Source organism: Homo sapiens, chromosome 2 (genome assembly GCF_000001405.40).
Source record: "Homo sapiens chromosome 2, GRCh38.p14 Primary Assembly".
Classification (NCBI taxonomy): Eukaryota; Metazoa; Chordata; class Mammalia; order Primates; family Hominidae; genus Homo; species Homo sapiens.
This window is the reverse complement of record NC_000002.12, coordinates 97,119,505-97,136,939: the sequence shown is the minus strand read 5'-3', so window position 1 is coordinate 97,136,939 and position 17,435 is coordinate 97,119,505. Positions and strand designations below refer to the sequence as shown.

General features: G+C 35.5%; 1 protein-coding gene across 50 annotated transcripts in view; it reads right to left on the bottom strand.

Annotated features, from left to right (window-relative positions):
- ANKRD36 (ankyrin repeat domain 36) overlaps positions 1–17,435 on the bottom strand; it is a 151,369-nt gene that overhangs the window by 127,582 nt on the left and 6,352 nt on the right. For 40 of the 50 annotated variants that reach the window (XR_007074204.1, XM_017004009.2, NM_001354587.1 and 37 more), the window contains exons 4-6: positions 13,947–14,053; positions 12,343–12,480; positions 9,806–9,873 (exon numbers count right to left, since the gene is read on the bottom strand). The exons of 4 other annotated variants lie outside the window; for them this stretch is intronic. Coding sequence is in view for 45 of the 46 variants with exons in the window: in XM_017004009.2 (XP_016859498.1) it covers positions 9,806–9,873; positions 12,343–12,480; positions 13,947–14,053 (313 nt within the window). In the remaining variant the exon portion in view is untranslated. The remainder of the gene's footprint in view (positions 1–9,805; positions 9,874–12,342; positions 12,481–13,946; positions 14,054–17,435) is intronic. 6 more of the 50 variants (XM_017004024.2, XM_047444233.1, XM_047444237.1 and 3 more) reach the window with 2 other exon arrangements.

The window sequence follows — 17,435 nt, the reverse complement described above, 5'->3', positions numbered from 1 at the left end:
AATGCAAAGAAGATTATCAAAATTTGTTACCTTACATGTGAATTGCAGTATAAAATAGTCATAATTCTAACAGAATCCTATCACACTGACAGAAAATGGCATCATTAGTAGAATCAATATAATGAGCAGGCATTGTCAAAGAACATGATTTCTGGACAAATGAACCAGGTGCAGCTAGAACAGCAGTCCCCCTTATCTGCTGTATGTGTAGAAAACACATATTCAACATGATGTTCCTCTTCTCTCACACCGCAACAACAATCATCAGCACAGAAGATTTCTGTGACCAAATATGTATTTTTCCCCAGCAACAAGCAAACAATCAATTCCTATGGGTGCCCTGTAATTCTGGCACTACCTACTTGGGGATTGTGTCAGATCCCACATTTTGAGGGCTCAGTACCACAAGGCTATTCCCCCACAGCAGTTACAAGTCTGGGCCTCCAGAACTTCTAATCAACTTCCAGTTGGACTTCAAGTTGGGTTTCCCAGGACCCCCTCTTTGGTTTGATTAATTTACTAGAGTGGCTCAGAGAACTCATGGAAACACATTTACCAGTTTCTTATAAAGAATATTAAAGGATACAGATAAAGAGATGCATAGTGCAAGATACGGGGGGAAAGTAACATGCTTCCATGTCCTCCCAGGGCACTCACCCTCTGGGAACATCCATGTATTCTCCATATGCCTTCATGTATTGGAGAGCATCCAGGTAGCTGAATACAGCTACCTGGATGCTCTCCAAATCCAATCCTTTTGGGATTTTATGAAAGCTTCATTACATAGGCATGACTGATTAATTGAACATTCAGCCCCTCTCACATCCCAGGAGGTGAGGGGTGGGGCTGGAAGTCCCAACCCTCTAATCACACCCTGATCACTATGATGATGAGCCCCACCCTGAAGCCATCTGGAGGCTGCCTGCCATAAGTCAATCATTAGCATACAGATGATATCATCTTGGAAATTCTGAGGATTTTAGGAGTTGTATGACAGAAAATGGGGTTGAAGACCAAATATATATTTCATAATATGACATTGGTGGTTTTACTGACTGCAGATTCAGTTACCCATGGTCAACCATGGTCCATAAATAAAATTCCAGATGTATACACATCATAAGGTTTAAATTGCCTAAGATTCTGAGTAGTATGACAAAATTTGAGCCATTACATCCCAGTCTGCCCAAGATGTGAATCGTCCCTTTGTCAAGTGCATACACATTATATATGATATCTACTCACTAGTCATTGACATAATCTGTACCTAACATCCAACCAACAATATCATCATGGTTCACGGATCCAGGATCACGTGAAGCAGATGATCTTCTTTCTGACATATAGTCAAATAGAAGGTCAATAGTAGCCTAAGACTACATGGCAATGCCTACTGCATTTGCCTCACTTATCACATAGCCATTTTATCATCTCACATCAGTGCAGAAAGTAGGGTGACTATAGTACATGATATTTTGTGAGCTCACATTCACATAACTTTTACTACAGTATATTGTTACAATTGATCTACTTTACCATTAGATATTATTAATCTCTTATTGTGCCTAATTTATGCATTAAATTTTATTATAGATATATATGTATTTTTAAAAATTATTGTACACATAGAGTTCAGCACTATTCATGTTTTCAGGCATTCACTAAGGGTCTTGAAATGTATCCCCCATGTGTAAGAGGAAATTACTGTACTTATTTTGTTGAAACACAACAGTTTCTCCACCTCTTCAGTTTAAACTATTTAGGATAAAGCACTCTAATTCAAAAAATCTAGATCTATGAAAACTGTACTCTATTCTATGGCAAAACACAGGATACAGAGCAGGGTCAAGGATCCCTGCAAAGACTTTTCAGCTGCCAGTGCAGAAGAGCCTAAGAGAGATCAGTGTCCTTACTCTCACTAATCCTCTCCTAGGGAAGATGCGGTAAGCTTGCTTAGTTCTAGCTATTCATTCACCCTATGTAGGGCACAAACAATCCTTAAATTCAGCTTTCTTTTTTAGCTCCTTCAAAAAAACACACACAGAGAAAATATCACTCCCTTAAAAGTTTATCCAATCTGAGTCTTGTTTCCTTGTCAGAGAGAAGCTTACAAAGAAATACTGGGAATGGTATGGCAAGTTGCCAGGGAGTACTTTCTAATATATAAAATATATATAAAGGAACCATAAACTCACTGGAGCTACCAAGATGTGCCAACAGTTGTCTCACTACCTAGTGGGAAAAACAACAACAACAACAACAAATCTTTGTCACTTTATGTAAACAAAAATAGTATGACTCTCTTGGCATTTTTCATGATGGAGAACCTAGTTATAAGTGAGTCATGTTATAATAATATAGACTGTCTTCAAAGTGATCCCTCAAAGAAAGAAGGTGAATAAGAAACATATTTGTATGCCTACAGTATTTACTAGCTGGTCTTATTTCCAACTGCAAGGTAAATAGGAAAGACTTTCTGACTCGTTTTATAAAGTACAACGTCTTGAGATTGTCCCTTTCCACTGCTAGTCTATCTGGACCCATCTCACAGAGAAGGATGATCCAGTTAGTGCTGTGTAGTACACAGCATGAAGTCATTTTCCTCAACCCTCCCCATTATGTGGCAAATGTCTATATAAATTATGCTTTTTCAACATGTAAAGCATATGCCATTAAATCCTACATTAATAAACTAAAAGCAAAAAAGCACAATGGATAGCTTAATTGAATACATTCAACTATCTTGGAAATTATGTTCTGTAATATTGAAAAAGATATCCACTATGTTATCCTTAATATATGACTATGCTGGACATATCAAAACTATGGGGACAGCAAAAATATTAGTAGTTGACAGGGGTTAGTTGTGAGGGAGGAATAAAAAAAGAGACAAATTTCAGGGCAGCAAAAGTATTCTAATGGCGGGTACATTTATTATACATTTGTCCAGCTTTATAGAAGGTACAATACCAAGAGGGAACTTAAATATAAACTATGGACTTTGGGTGATTATTATGATGCAACAATGTAAGCTTCTCAGTTGTAACAAATGTACCACTCAGGTGGGAGATATTGAAAATGGGGGGAGCTATGCACGTGAGGGGGGATGGCGTATATGAAAAATCTCTTTAGGTTCTTTTCAATATTGCTGAGAATATAAAACTGCTCTTAAAATAAAGTTATTAATTTTTTAAAAAGATTTTCACTGAATCTTCTATTACTAATATATTGCTATATTAACATATATTATGGCAATATGTACTCAATTTGAAACACAATATGAATATTCTCTCCAGAATTATAGTATATAAAAGTACATAAAGCAAATAACTTAACTGTATTTACAGGCAAGAAAATAATTGATAAATGATTGATTTTTTAAATTTCATAATTATAAACAGAAATTTAACAAAATATAAAACAAAACTGAACCATCTATATAATTAAAATGAAACAAATTTTTTATTTTAATTTTAAATGAGAAATCATTACTTATTTTATCTAACCATTTTACTGAAAGGTTAATCGAATAAGAACAGATTATAATTATCTAATATTGCCATAGTAACTTCTGTATAGAGACCTGTTAAATATTCACCAAAATTCCAAAATCTAACAGCACAGAAACTTAGTATTTCATATTAAGTTGCAACTGACGCAAATGAAATAAGCACCATGCTATGTTATATTACCATGTTATTCACTATCAAATAGAATTTTTAAGACACCTAAAATTAAGTTGGGGCTGTAACTGCTGTGAAGAAAATAATGCATATAACAGTCATAAGACTGTCATTCTTAGAAAGGCCTACATGCAAAACTGGCCCTTCGCTGGTGTTTGGAAATTTGTATTTTAAAGGTTTGTCACCATTTCCTGAGAAAAGTAGCTCACTGTACCTAAACTGTTTGCATAAACAATGTGGTTGACTCTGAACAGCTGCTTTTCTTCTGGAAGTGTGGAATTTTTGTATATGTGTGAGACAGAATGCCTATGTAACTAGCTTCCATAAGAACCTTGGATACTGTGTAAGTCTCTAGTCAGACTCATACTGGTAGACAATATTGCCCATGTGCTGTCAAAATTCGAAGCTACAGGAATTCAGCACATCCTGGTAACTCCACAGGAGAGGGCTCCCGGAAGCTTGTGCCTGGCTTCCCCAAGACTTGCCACATGCCCCTTTGCCCTGAGTCAATTTTACTATGTATTCTTTCACTGTAACAAATCAAAGCCCAGAGTAGCACTGTTTGCTGAGTCCTTCCAAGTGAATCGCCAAACACAGAGGTGGTCTTGGGAAACTCTGACATAATGGCATTATATGAAATTAGTTTTCTTTAAGGTGATGTGACCTGTGACTACGATCAGAAGGCTGTTTATAAAACACCTTTCCCTAATCTGTTCTCCTTAACGGTTGCCTTTGAGATTCCTGTATTTCCGCATGAATAAATCCATAAAGGAATAGAAATAATTATGCCAAAAAATAATGAAAAACAAGCAGCAATCCTATTTTAACCAGAATAAAAATTTGAGAATATGGATGATTAAAAATATATCCCATAGTATGAAAGCTTCTAGAAGAGAAACAAAAAGATCACAGCCAATTGTCTTCAACTCACCAAGGTTTCTTTTATAATAATTGGGGATCAGGCCAGGTGCAATGACACACACCTGTAGTCCCAACTACTCCAACGGCTGAGGCAGGAAGATTGCTTGAGATCAAAAGTTTGAGGCTGCAGTGGAGATTGTGCCTGTGAACAACCATTGCACTCCAGCCTGGGAAACAGAGTGAGACCCTGTCTCTAAAATGTATTAGTAGGCTGGGGGCGGTGGCTCACACCTGTAATCCAAACACTTTGGGAGGCTGGGGCGGGCAGATCACAAGGTCAGGAGATGCAGACCATCCTGGCTAACACGGTGAAACCCCGACTCTACTAAAAATATAAAAATTAGCTGGGCGTGGTGGTGCAGGCCTGTAGTCCCAGCTACTTGGGAGGCTGAAGCAGGAGAAGCGCTTGAACCCAGGAGGCAGAGTTTGCAGTGAGCCGAGATCGTGCCACTGCACTCCAGCCTGGGCAACAGAGCGAGACTCAGCCTCAAAAAAAAAAATCTATTAATAAAAACATACATAAAATAATTTGCATCATTCAGGTCATTGTGATAATTATAGAAATATATGTAGCCATTGGCTATAACACTGTACTATCGATCATAGAGCTCATTTAATTTGTTTCTAATCTTTTTTCTTAAGTTCTTATAAAACTAAAAATATCTATTAAAACTAAAAATCATCTGTTAAGGGCAGTTCTTCATAGAACAGGTCAAAAAGTCAAAAACTGCATTTAAAATGTAGGATGAGTTATCCACTTCGGCTCCCAAACAGTGGGTTTTTCTTATTAAGGGCCAATAGGACTTTAAACTCATTTTGGGGAATAAAGGAAGTTATAGACCAGCACGATGGCTCGTGACTATAATTCCAGCACTTTGGGAGGCTGAGGCAGGAGGATCACTTGAAGCCAAAAGTTTGAGACTGGCCTGGGTAAGAGAGAGAGACCCTTGTCTCTAAAAAATAAAAAATAAAAAAGTTAGCTTGGTGTGGTGGCATATGCTTGTAGCAGTCTCACCGACTTAGGAGGCTGAGGTAGGAGGACCACCTGAACCCAGAAGTTTGAGGCTGCAGTGAGCTATGATCACACTATTGTACTCCAGCCTGGGAAACAGCAAAAGACTCAATCTCAAAAAAAAAAAAATCAAGAAACTTATATATAAATGGTTAAAGGTGTGGTAATCCAACTGACCAAATATTCCAGCTAAGTAACAGATTACCAATATTTGAAGAAATATAATACCAGAAAAGTGTTTTACATTAAAACTATGTCAAGTTTGAAAATTTTAAATACACCTTAAGTGTCTTAACTTAATTTGAAAATTTAAAAGACATATAAAGTTTGAAAATTTAAAAGAAACTTAAAATCTTAAAGGAGCAGCATCACTTACACTGTCACTGTGCTAAAGATATAAAGAAGTTTAGCATTAAAGATTAATAGAATACCAGATATACTTTAGAACAGGTAGCTAATTCTCTTAAAAGAAAATCATATATAGTTGTCAAAAATACCTGTGTTAGAAATGTGTTCTAATAATATTTTCTTTAGGGGTGAAATTAAAAAAGAAAACAGTAAAAGCAGAGATATTACAAGAGGTCATGAAAAGGGAATTGCACTAAAACAAAGTGTCCCAGAACACAGAGACTTGGTATACTTAGCATATCACCTTATATTTTTCTCCATGACATTATTATAAAAGACATCAGCTTCTCCAAACTGCTCGTATGTAGGCTACTTCTTTTTTTTTTTCATACTTTTAGGGTACATGTGCACAACGTGCAGGTTTGTTACATATGTATACATGTGCCATGTTGGTGTGCTGCACCCATTAACTCATCATTTAGCATTAGGTAGATCTCCTAATGTTATCCCTCCCCCCTCCCCCCACCCCACAACAGTCCCCGGTGTGTGATGTTCCCCTTCCTGTGTCCATGTGTTCTCATTGTTCAATTCCCACCTATGAGTGAGAACATGCAGTGTTTGGTTTTTTGTCCTTGCCATAGTTTGCTGAGAGTGATGTTTTCCAGCTTCATCCATGTCCCTACAAAGGACAGGAACTCATCATTTCTTATGGCTGCATAGTATCCCATGGTGTATATGTGCCACATTTTCTTAATCCAGTCTATCAGTGTTGGACATTTGGGTTGGTTCCATGTCTTTGCTATTGTGAATAGCTACAAACCACTGCTCAATGAAATAAAAGAGGATACAAACAAATGGAAGAACATTCCAGGCTCATAGGTAGGAAGTATCAATACTGTCAAAATGGCTGTACTGCCCAAGGTAATTTATAGATCCAATGCCATCCCCATCAAGCTAACAATGACTTTCTTCACAGAACTGGAAAAAACTATTTTAAAGTTCATATGGAACGAAAAAAGAGCCCGCATTGCCAAGTCAATCCTAAGCCAAAAGAATAAAGCTGGAGGCATCACGCTACCTGACTTCAAACTATACTACAAGGCTACAGTAACCAAAACAGCATGGTACTGGTACCAAAACAGAGATACAGACCAATGGAACAGAACAGAGCCCTCAAAAATAATGCCGCATGTCTACAACTATTGATCTTTGACAAACCTGACAAAAAGAAGAAATGGGGAAAGGATTCCCTATTTAATAAATGGTGCTGGGAAAACTGGCTAGCCATATGTAGAAAGCTGAAACTGGATCCCTTCCTTACACCTTATACAAAAATTAATTCAAGATGGATTAAAGACTTAAACGTTAGACCTAAAACCATAAAAACCCTACAAGAAAACCTAGGCAATACCATTCAGGACATAGGCATGGGCAAGGACTTCACGTCTAAAACACCAAAAGCAATGGCAACAGAAGCCAAAATTGACAAATGGGATCTAATTAAACTAAAGAGCTTCTGCACAGCAAAAGAAATTACCATCAGAGTGAACAGACAACCTACAGAATGGGAGAAAATTTTTGCAACCTACTCATCTGACAAAGGGCTAATATCCAGAATCTACAAAGAACTCAAACAAATTTACAAGAAAAAAACAAACAACCCCATCAAAAAGTGGGCGAAGGATATGAACAGACACTTCTCTAAAGAAGACATTTATTCAGCCAAAAAACATGAAAAAATGCTCATCACCACTGGCCATCAGAGGAATGCAAATCAAAACCACAATGAGATACCATCTCACACCAGAGTTAGAATGGCGATCATTAAAAAGTCAGGAAACAACAGGTGCTGGAGAGGATGTGGAGAAATAGGAACACTTTTACACTGTTGGTGGGACTGTAAACTAGTTCAACCATTGTGGAAGTCAGTGTGGTGATTCCTCAGGGATCTAGAACTAGAAATACCATTTGACCCAGCCATCCCATTACTGGGTATATACCCAAAGGATTATAAATCATGCTGCTATAAAGACACATGCACATGTCTGTAGACTACTTCTGATTGAAACTTGAAACTCTCGAAATGCGGCTGTGTTATGATTCCATGTTGGAGGGAGTTGGGATGTATGTGCTTTGGACAAGCTGGTTCCAGTTACTACTGCCAGACTTTTGTTTCAGAATGCATCCAGAAGAACTTATCAGGGATTTCAGTACAAACTAAGTATTTCCACAAGGAGCAGATAAGAAGACCACAGTTTTTCTCACACATTACCCTTAGGTTTTGACAATTCTGTAAAAGTGTGGGCACATGTACTCAGAAGTCAAGACCATTTTCCCTGACCCTGTGCACGTAGCTTCTGCAGTTACAAAAGGGTTACACAGGATCTTGGTAGATTTGTTCCCCATATTTGGACAACAGACATACCAATCACATCAATAGCCCACATTACACCTCAAAAATGGTTCTTTTGAAAAGGGTACCGCCAAAGAGCTTTTAAAAGTTAAATCTAATTGGCTTTTGAGTAATCTTACTTGTTAGAATTCATACTCCCTCCTTAAAATTCTCACTTTTTTTATTTTTGCAACATCACTTCCTCTGACTCCTCTCCTAGTTTTCTCTAGCCACTGCTCATTCTCCTTTACCAACTCTTTTTTTCCTGGGGGTTGGGAGGGAATGTTGACATTCCCAGGGTTTTGTCACAGGATAGCTTCTCATTCTACATCTGCATCATGGACAGCTCATTGAGATCGATGACTTTGCCTAATAATTATAATAACATCATTCTACGTCTGCATCTCCAACCTCAGATTTGTAGGAAAGGGAAGTTATTCTTCCCTGTTGACCAGCTGTACTTCTCCATTCAGTGAACACGTCCTACTCCTTTCTTGTGTGCAGTATAAAGGCCAGTACACAACCCGGAAACCTATGAATGATCCAAGATTTCTCTCTCCTCACTAATGTTTTACATTCAATGTTCACTAAATCATATTAACTAACTGTACCTATTTTCTGCTTCTGCTTTATATTTCTACTGCCACCAAATAAATACTTTTATATTTCCTAGATCAACATGGCCTCTTCACTGATGGTTTTCACAGGAAAAAAAAGTCCCTATCAACTATTATTGTTTTTTTACAAATAAAAAATTAAGTAAAACAAATGAAGAAGGCATGCGGGCAAGAAAAAGACCAACATTTTAAAATGAGTAAATGGAGTAAATTTACTTTATTTTACCATGGGTGGGTGAACACCTTACACTAGATTGAGAGTAGTTCAAGCATCGAACTACAAGGAAACTACAGCTGTAACTACTGCAAAAGCTTTCTTTCTCTAGCTTACTTTCTTGTACTCAGAATACAATATATAATATATACAACATACCAAATACGTATTTTCAACAGCATGGGGATTGGCAGCACTAAATCCCATGTTGTTCAAGGGCCAACTGTAATTATTGATTCATTTAGTAATTGCAAAGAATTTATTTTACAAATTAAATAGAAGTTCTAATTATATAAAAAGTCTAATTCATTATTATGTGACTATAAAAAAACATACAACATAATAACTTAAAAATTTGTTTTCTTATTTACACAAAAAGGTCATCTAGAATATTAGGAACCATAATTAAATAATAATTTTTTTCAAACAATACTGACATTATAAATTACCTACAATTAACTTTTTAAATAATTATAAAATCTAGACTACTAAGTATTTTTTAAATGTGTGCAATTTAAACAGTGATTTTTTTAAACTGCTTTTTTGTAATCAAAACATCTTTATTCTTTTTTATCTATGGTAGTACCATCAAGAGTAATTCACTATCAGAAATCTTACCTGGATTGCTATTTATAGGAAGATCTTCATATCTCTTTCTTTCGTATTCATAAATTAGATCAAAAATGCTATGCATAAAAATAAATGAAATTAATATTTTAATACTATTATCAAAAACATTTACCAAATATACTAAATTATTAGAGTATCTTGAACAATATCAGGATGTTAATTATCCTATACACTTCTCTTTTGTAAGCTCTACAAACTTCTTAGTACCTTTCTAATTAAATAATAAAAACAGGTGAAGTACTCATGAAGTGAAGGCAGTATAGCTCAGCAAACTATCTCACATCAGCTTGACATAATGGAAAGTCACCTTCCTGGCTCTTACTGGAAGGTCCTGGCTCTATAGCCAACAGGTATTTGCTCTTAAACAAGTTGCTTCTCTTAGGCACAATGTCTTCTTCTAGATTTTACTATCTTCTTTCACTAGGTTGTTATATAGGTTTAATGAAGCAGCATTTTTAACATTCACAGAGAAATAGTAAAGCAGTGGAGTTTGTTCTTGAAATTTATTGCTGAAACTATTTTGAAATCCCAAATCAAACCCAATGTGTATTTTTTCATAGGTTCTAATATTCAAATGCTTCAGTTTAAGAAAAATGTTAAGTCCTAATTTTGCTTATTGTTCTATTATTTGTGGCTTATAATTCAGGTTATCTCAACTATTTCATAATTCATAAATAACTTATGAATACATTATTTCATTAAAATAGGTAACACGATTGTTAACTATTATTGAGCTCATCAATTCCAAGGGCAGAAAACTAACAGATGTCAAGATCTGGCTTGGGCTACCACTATTACTTCTCTACAGACTCTAACTGAATGAGCAGATGTTTGCTAGAATGATGGTTCATCTCCATCAGTGATGTTATCTCCAACTGACATGGAAGACAAAACCCTACTTTCATTTTTTTTAAGTTCCATGAAGTAGATGCAAGTTGACATTTTCTCATTTCCAAGATACATACTAACAAAATATTTACACAACACCCCATGTGTTACTTATCTCCATTCTCAGTTTATAGATCACCTTACACAAATGTTTTTGTAGTGAAAAATCACAATTCTAATATAAGGGGCCACCCATTTTGTTTTGATTCAAACTATGACTTAGCTAGCCAGCAAACAGTCAAATGACCTTCCCGTGACTGCAAAATATGAAATGCTTCACCATGCTAATTTTCTCCGTATTGTTCCAATTTTAGTATTTGTGCTGCCAAAGCAAGCACAAAGCCTTACTTTTACATATAACTGCTGATAAGTCATAGATGAGGGTTAGCTCTGTTAAATCTAACTAACAAACTTGAGACTCAGATAATTCCGATGAATGGCTTCCTGTGAAATAGAATCCGAAAATATTTTATAAACTTGAGATACTGATGCAAGCAGCTTGAGAGATCTTCATTATTATAGATAACAGATCACTTGAGGGGCCAACCACAAGTTGATACCTACTACTCTAAGGAAGGATGGCATAGAAGCTTCCACTACCTGAGAAAAGCTCTTACGCTGTTTATATAAAAAGTCTCAGGGTACAGATCTGGTAGCAATAAAGAAGAACACTGTGATCTCTTTCTACAACATTATTTGAATATCTCTGACAGTTTAGAACTATCCCAACTAATATTTGCTTTAAAGAGAAAAAAAAGGGACTCAAAAAATAACTCACCATGAAGGTCTAGAAGCCCAGGTTAAAATGTGGGCTTTACATAAGGTTTTGAGTGTGGGTGAAAGTGTCAATTTGCTCCGTATGTGTGTTGATAAAGTTAGAATATCCAGCTAACAGAGCAAGGTTCTGCTGTTTTGGAAACAATGGCTGAGCATATAAGTATGTGCAACTGAACTAAAAAAAACCAGTTGTAACTTTGAAGCCTTTTTATGGATCAACATGAAGATTGAGGGATGTCAAACAGAAAGGGCATGCTGGTAGCAAAGGTTAATCACTACCAGACTGCAAGAGTACTTTCAATGGTAAGAAAGCAGCAACAGAATCAATGAAAACAAAGCAATGATTAGAATGTCCTTTCCCCTTCTCCTTCTGACTTGTAGACACTGATTGTCTTCCTTGGACTTAGGGAACCCCTTAGGTTCTTGAAAAATTCCATGATCAGGCTATAGTAGATGGTCCCCAGTACACAGCTCAAGGTTTTTTGATAAACTGGACATTTTGAGACCCAAATAACTAATTAGAAAAATCAAAGATGTGAAACTACTTTACCCTATGCATAGGGGTTATACTAGAAATAAAATGGACAACATTGGAATCCCTAAGGAGAAAAGTCCTGAAAGTTTCAATATCAAGAATCTTGCACCTACTGCTACTTATCTAGCCTTTTTCTTGATTTCTTTTGCTTGATTTCTGGCTGATGAAGTTGCACAACTCTCGAAAACTTAAAAACTTGAAAATTTGTCACTTGAAAACTACTTGAACCAAACTATGAAATCTCACCTGATATATAAGATGCAATTGTTACAATTATTTTAAACTTCAATTTAGTGTTCACTAGCCTTTTTATGTAAAGACTTACACTCTATTCTTAGCCTCAATGGCATAATCTCCTGCAATCTTTCGAAACGCATCTCGAGAAAGCACATCAATATTGTGCTGCAGAAGAAGAATGACTATATCTTTTTCTCCAAGAGTAACAGCATGTATGAGGGCTGATCTAAAATAACAGAGAGGTAATTAAAAACTTTAATGACATTTTAAAAGCTAAGTTTATATACTTTATCAACTTAATATGTTGCCTGTCCATGTAGAATTAACCCAATTACATGTACTAAGAAACAAGCATCTTGGGTGCTCAAGGGTTTATCTTTGCAAGTTACCACAAAGGTTAAAAGCAAGGAACAAAAAGGAAGCCTCTTGTCCTACTGTGGGTGGTATGACATAAAGTTGCTAACTTAAAGTCCTTTGATGGGCAAGAAACTATGCTCAGGCCACCTATCTACAGTAGGCAAATTTAAGTGAAAAATTATTCATTTCTTCCCTAGTATGATACTATACATTATAATGCAAAATCAGCTGAAGGGTCAGATAAGAGCTATCTGCAGGCTTAAAACAATAATATTAATAGGAATGCTAATAGTAGTAGTCATAGCTTCAGTTAATGATGCTGATAAGCGTGTGATAGGCATTTAATTAAACACTATATATATATATATATAAATATGGAGGATAATAATATATCCTTCAAGGATGGTTGTGTATAAGTAATATCACATATATATAAAATTAGTATATATAATCTATAAAATATATAATATACATTGTATATTATATATTATCTATAAAATATATAATATATAGTGTATTATATATTATCTATAAAGTATATATTGTATATATTATATATTATATATGATGTTACTTACATTATATTCTTACATACATATGTGTGTATATATAATATATGCACATACTTATATGCTCAGCCATTGTTTCCAAAACATCAGCACCTTGCTCTGTTAGCTGGACATTCTAACATTATATATATATATATATATATATAATGTTACTTACACACAACCACCCTTGAAGGATATATTATTACCCTCCTTTTCACAGAAGAAAACATACTTGGCAATAAGTAATGTTACCAAGGTCACACATCTAGCAAGTGGGAAAGCTAGGGATTAAACCCAGTCCTGTGTGAACCTAAAGCTTGTCTTCATTAAAGTTTTATCCATTTAAAGCTATCTTTTCTCCCCCTCCCCATATCAATTAAAAACAACATCAAAACACAGTAGAAATGAAAAACTAACATGAAACCCCTTTAGCTAATGTAAGATCATACAATCAAAAGCATCACATTATTACATTGTAAATAACACCACATCATATTACAAATAACAAACATCTATCAATATACAGAGCTTTCTATATATAGAAGCCTTTTATGTGTATAATGTCTATAGAGAGAGACGAATCCTGCTATACACTGTTCTTTATGTTACTCAGTCCAAATAATTGTTTTCCTACCTAAGTGATGATCTGTGTTATTTCTCACTATATCCCAATAATTACAAGTTAGTCTTCTTATTAATGTAATATTTGTGACTTGAGGGACTGCTACCACACTAAAATGACACTCAGGTTTAAAAACGACACAATAAGAACTAAGGTCTGTACCTGCCAAGATAATCAATGGCATTTACATTTGCTTTTTTCTTTAATAAAAATTCCACCATTTTCACTTTTCTTCGACTCACAGCAAATAACAGTGGCTGATATTCACACTGTAAAATAACAGCAACAATTTATAATCACAAAATTACATATTTATCAACTGAACTGAAAACCTTATGTAAGTAAGATCCTGTGAGCTTCAATATATACAATTGAAAGGTCATAAGAGGTAGTCCCTTTCTTTTCCCTCCTCGGTGCTTTTCTATGTTCTGCTCCTTCCCCTGGAAACAACCTCCTCTGCCTCACCACAAGAACTCTGGTCATCTCCAAAACTCACTTCAAACATTTCCCAGTTCCAAGAATCTTTGCTTCTGTCCCAGCATTTAGCATGGCATGTTTCAAGGATTTAATTGTTTCCCACCTGAACCAAGAGCTTCTTGAGGGCAGCAGCTGTATTTTTTTCTCTATGTCCTCAAACTCTAAGACACAGTAATAAATGTTTCAGGTATTTTTATTAATGATCTAAATTATTATCTATAGAGCGGTGTTTCTTAAACTATTAATATATTCCAAAGGATATTTACTTTACCAGAATTTGAACATTATACCCCAAAAGAGAGACTCCATGATCACCCATGTTTGAAAAATGTTACAAAACTGCATTATGTGTCTAGTATTTGAGAAATCTTTTGAACTTCACCTAATCCCTATTTGTAAATACTTATTTTGGAGAATGTTAACATTTGAGAAATGAGAGTTTCAGGGATACAGTTGTGAGAGCTTACCAGTAAAGGTAGAGGTTTCCTCTGGGTGATACACACTTGCCTCATTCTCTTCTATCGATGGTGTAAGAATCTCAGGTGACAATGTCAGGAGCTCCTGAGCACCTGAGCACCTGACATTGTCATCTGAGATTCTGACACGATTGACAGTTCATTTGAAGCCTATCTCTTTTTAATTCGGAGAGCCGGGCTCTGAATTAATAGAGATAGGCTTCGAGTGAACTTTCACTGCTTATTATTAAATAGTCCATGGGTTTTCTCTAGTAATATTTTTATCTTAGCTGTCAGAAAGCTCTGTATGAAATGTTATTCTCAATTACAATCTTAGGACCCTGATGCAAATATTTATGTAATTATAATCTTAGGACCCTGGTACATAACTCCTTTAAAAATCTATTTGTATTCTAGTTTCCAATTAATTCTTACTTTTTTTATTTTAGGTAAAATATCAATCAGAAATAAAAATACAATGGCTTATCAATTAAAGCTCTAATAATGACCTATATGAATTATTTATAGCATAATGAAAGCCACTAAATTATTTGCATCTTTTATTTATTTATTTATTTGGGATGGAGTCTCGCTCTGTCGCCCAGGCTGGAGTGCAGTGGTGCCATCTTGGCTCACTGCAACCTCCGCCTCCCGGATTCAAGCACGAGAAATTCTCCTGCCTCAGCCTCCCGAGTAGCTGGGACTACAGGAGTGTGCCACCACACCCAGCTAATTTTTTGTATTTGTAGTAGAGAGGGGGTTTCACCGTGTTAGCCAGGATGGTCTCAATCTTCTGACCTCGTGATCTACCTGCCTCTGCCTCCCAAAGTGCTAGGATTACAGGCGTGAGCCACTGCGCTCGGCCAATTACTTGCATTTTTAGGAGGCAATGCTGAAGAGAAAAATATAATGTTGTCTGCAATATGCATAACCTATGCAACCATACCATGATTCACCTTAAAAAGCTTACATGCATTCTAATGGGAAGATGATTATTTATGGTATGTATAAAGAAAAATAGTTTATAAAACACCACCATCTAAATTCAAAAGTTCAACCCGATTACCAAAGGATTTATATAAAATATAGACTCTACATTTAAATAAATATAAAATGTCTTAAAAACCTTGAAATATTTACTAAAATATATTATAAAACAGGGCTTGTAAAGTCATCCCTACAGAGGCAAGGGAGATGACCTGAGGAAGTGAAGTACCTAGGTAGGCACAGTAGCAAAATGGAGACCACATGCCTCATAGAAAGGGGCAACCTCTGCACAGCATCCAAAACCTGAGATAGGCTCAAGGGACACCAGATTGGATTCTTGAAGAGAAGCCTGGAATCCAGATCTGTGCACGAGTCTCCTAAACCTTCCATGTTGAGACAATTTGTAGACACAAACTAAACACATGTATGGGACACATTTGGACTATATACCTTGTATTTTTATATTTGCTATGGATATGTCTCCAAGCAATTGTATGTAACACAAGTATTTTCATGTAAAATACTTCCTTTCTTTAGTTTCAGATTTTTTTTTCCAAAATAGGCCCAAGAATACAATAAAAATTGTTACTAAGAGTCATAATACCCACTTTGAGCACTTTTACAACATTCATTCATTTATAATTTATGTTTAATTTTCCCAGATTGTTCACCAAATGGATAATTAGTTCATAAGACTGCTGCAACTAAATTATTAAAATAATATTAAATTATAATTCTAGTTTCTATATTGTAACCTAATTTTTTTATTTTAGGGAAAATATAAATCAGAAATAAAAATACAATGGCTTATCAATTAAAGCTCTAATAATGACCTATATGTATTCTTTGTATTCTTACTAACTTCATGGTTTTCAGTGTTTAAAACTGCTATCCTGATTATGCCACAGTTCTATGTACTTAACTGACATACTGAGGCAGTCCATAATAGAGCTTCAGCTTTAAAAAAAGGTTTAGAATTTTTTGCTATTGTAATTGAGAGAACCCCGCTTTTAATAATGATGTATTGACCTAATCACCAGAATGATAACAAAGAGACTCAGAGTCCTGAAAGAGTCAGTCTCTACTTATTAAAAGAGTCCACAATAGCAAATTTCTAATGACCCTATGAATGGCAGTGAATAAGTGATGGTGGCAAAGAAAAGGTGTTATTCTTATGCTGATAGATACTGCAAATAATAGTCCTTTCCACTTCCCAACCACAGAGGTAGAGACAGGTAAAAGTCAGGCCAATATTATTGGAAAGGAGAAATTTAAAGGAAGCAGCACCTATCTCCAGCTCTTCTAGAGATTTTTTGTGTGTTTGAGATATGGGAATTTATATTACACTTATCTATTCAGTGGTTCTTAACCAGCAGCGTATCAGTGTCCCAAGAAATGTTTTATTGTTGTTGTTGTTGTTGTGTTGTTGCTGTTAGAGGCAGTGTCTTAATCTGTTGCTCTGGCTAGAGGCACCACCATGCCCAGCTTCAAGGAAATATTTTAAAACATACATGCCCAGTAATATTTAATAGTAAATATTAGATTTACCATATTAAAATCTTCAGGGGATATCCTAGACTTAGAGATTTGCTTTTAATTTCCCCAGGTTACTGCCATGCACAATTCTAACTGCGAACCAGCACAGTTGATAATCACTTCAGTCTCATTTCTCACCCACGTGGCAAATTCCCTTTATCGTTTGGGATTTGGCCGAAAAGAGGAAAGAGCAAAA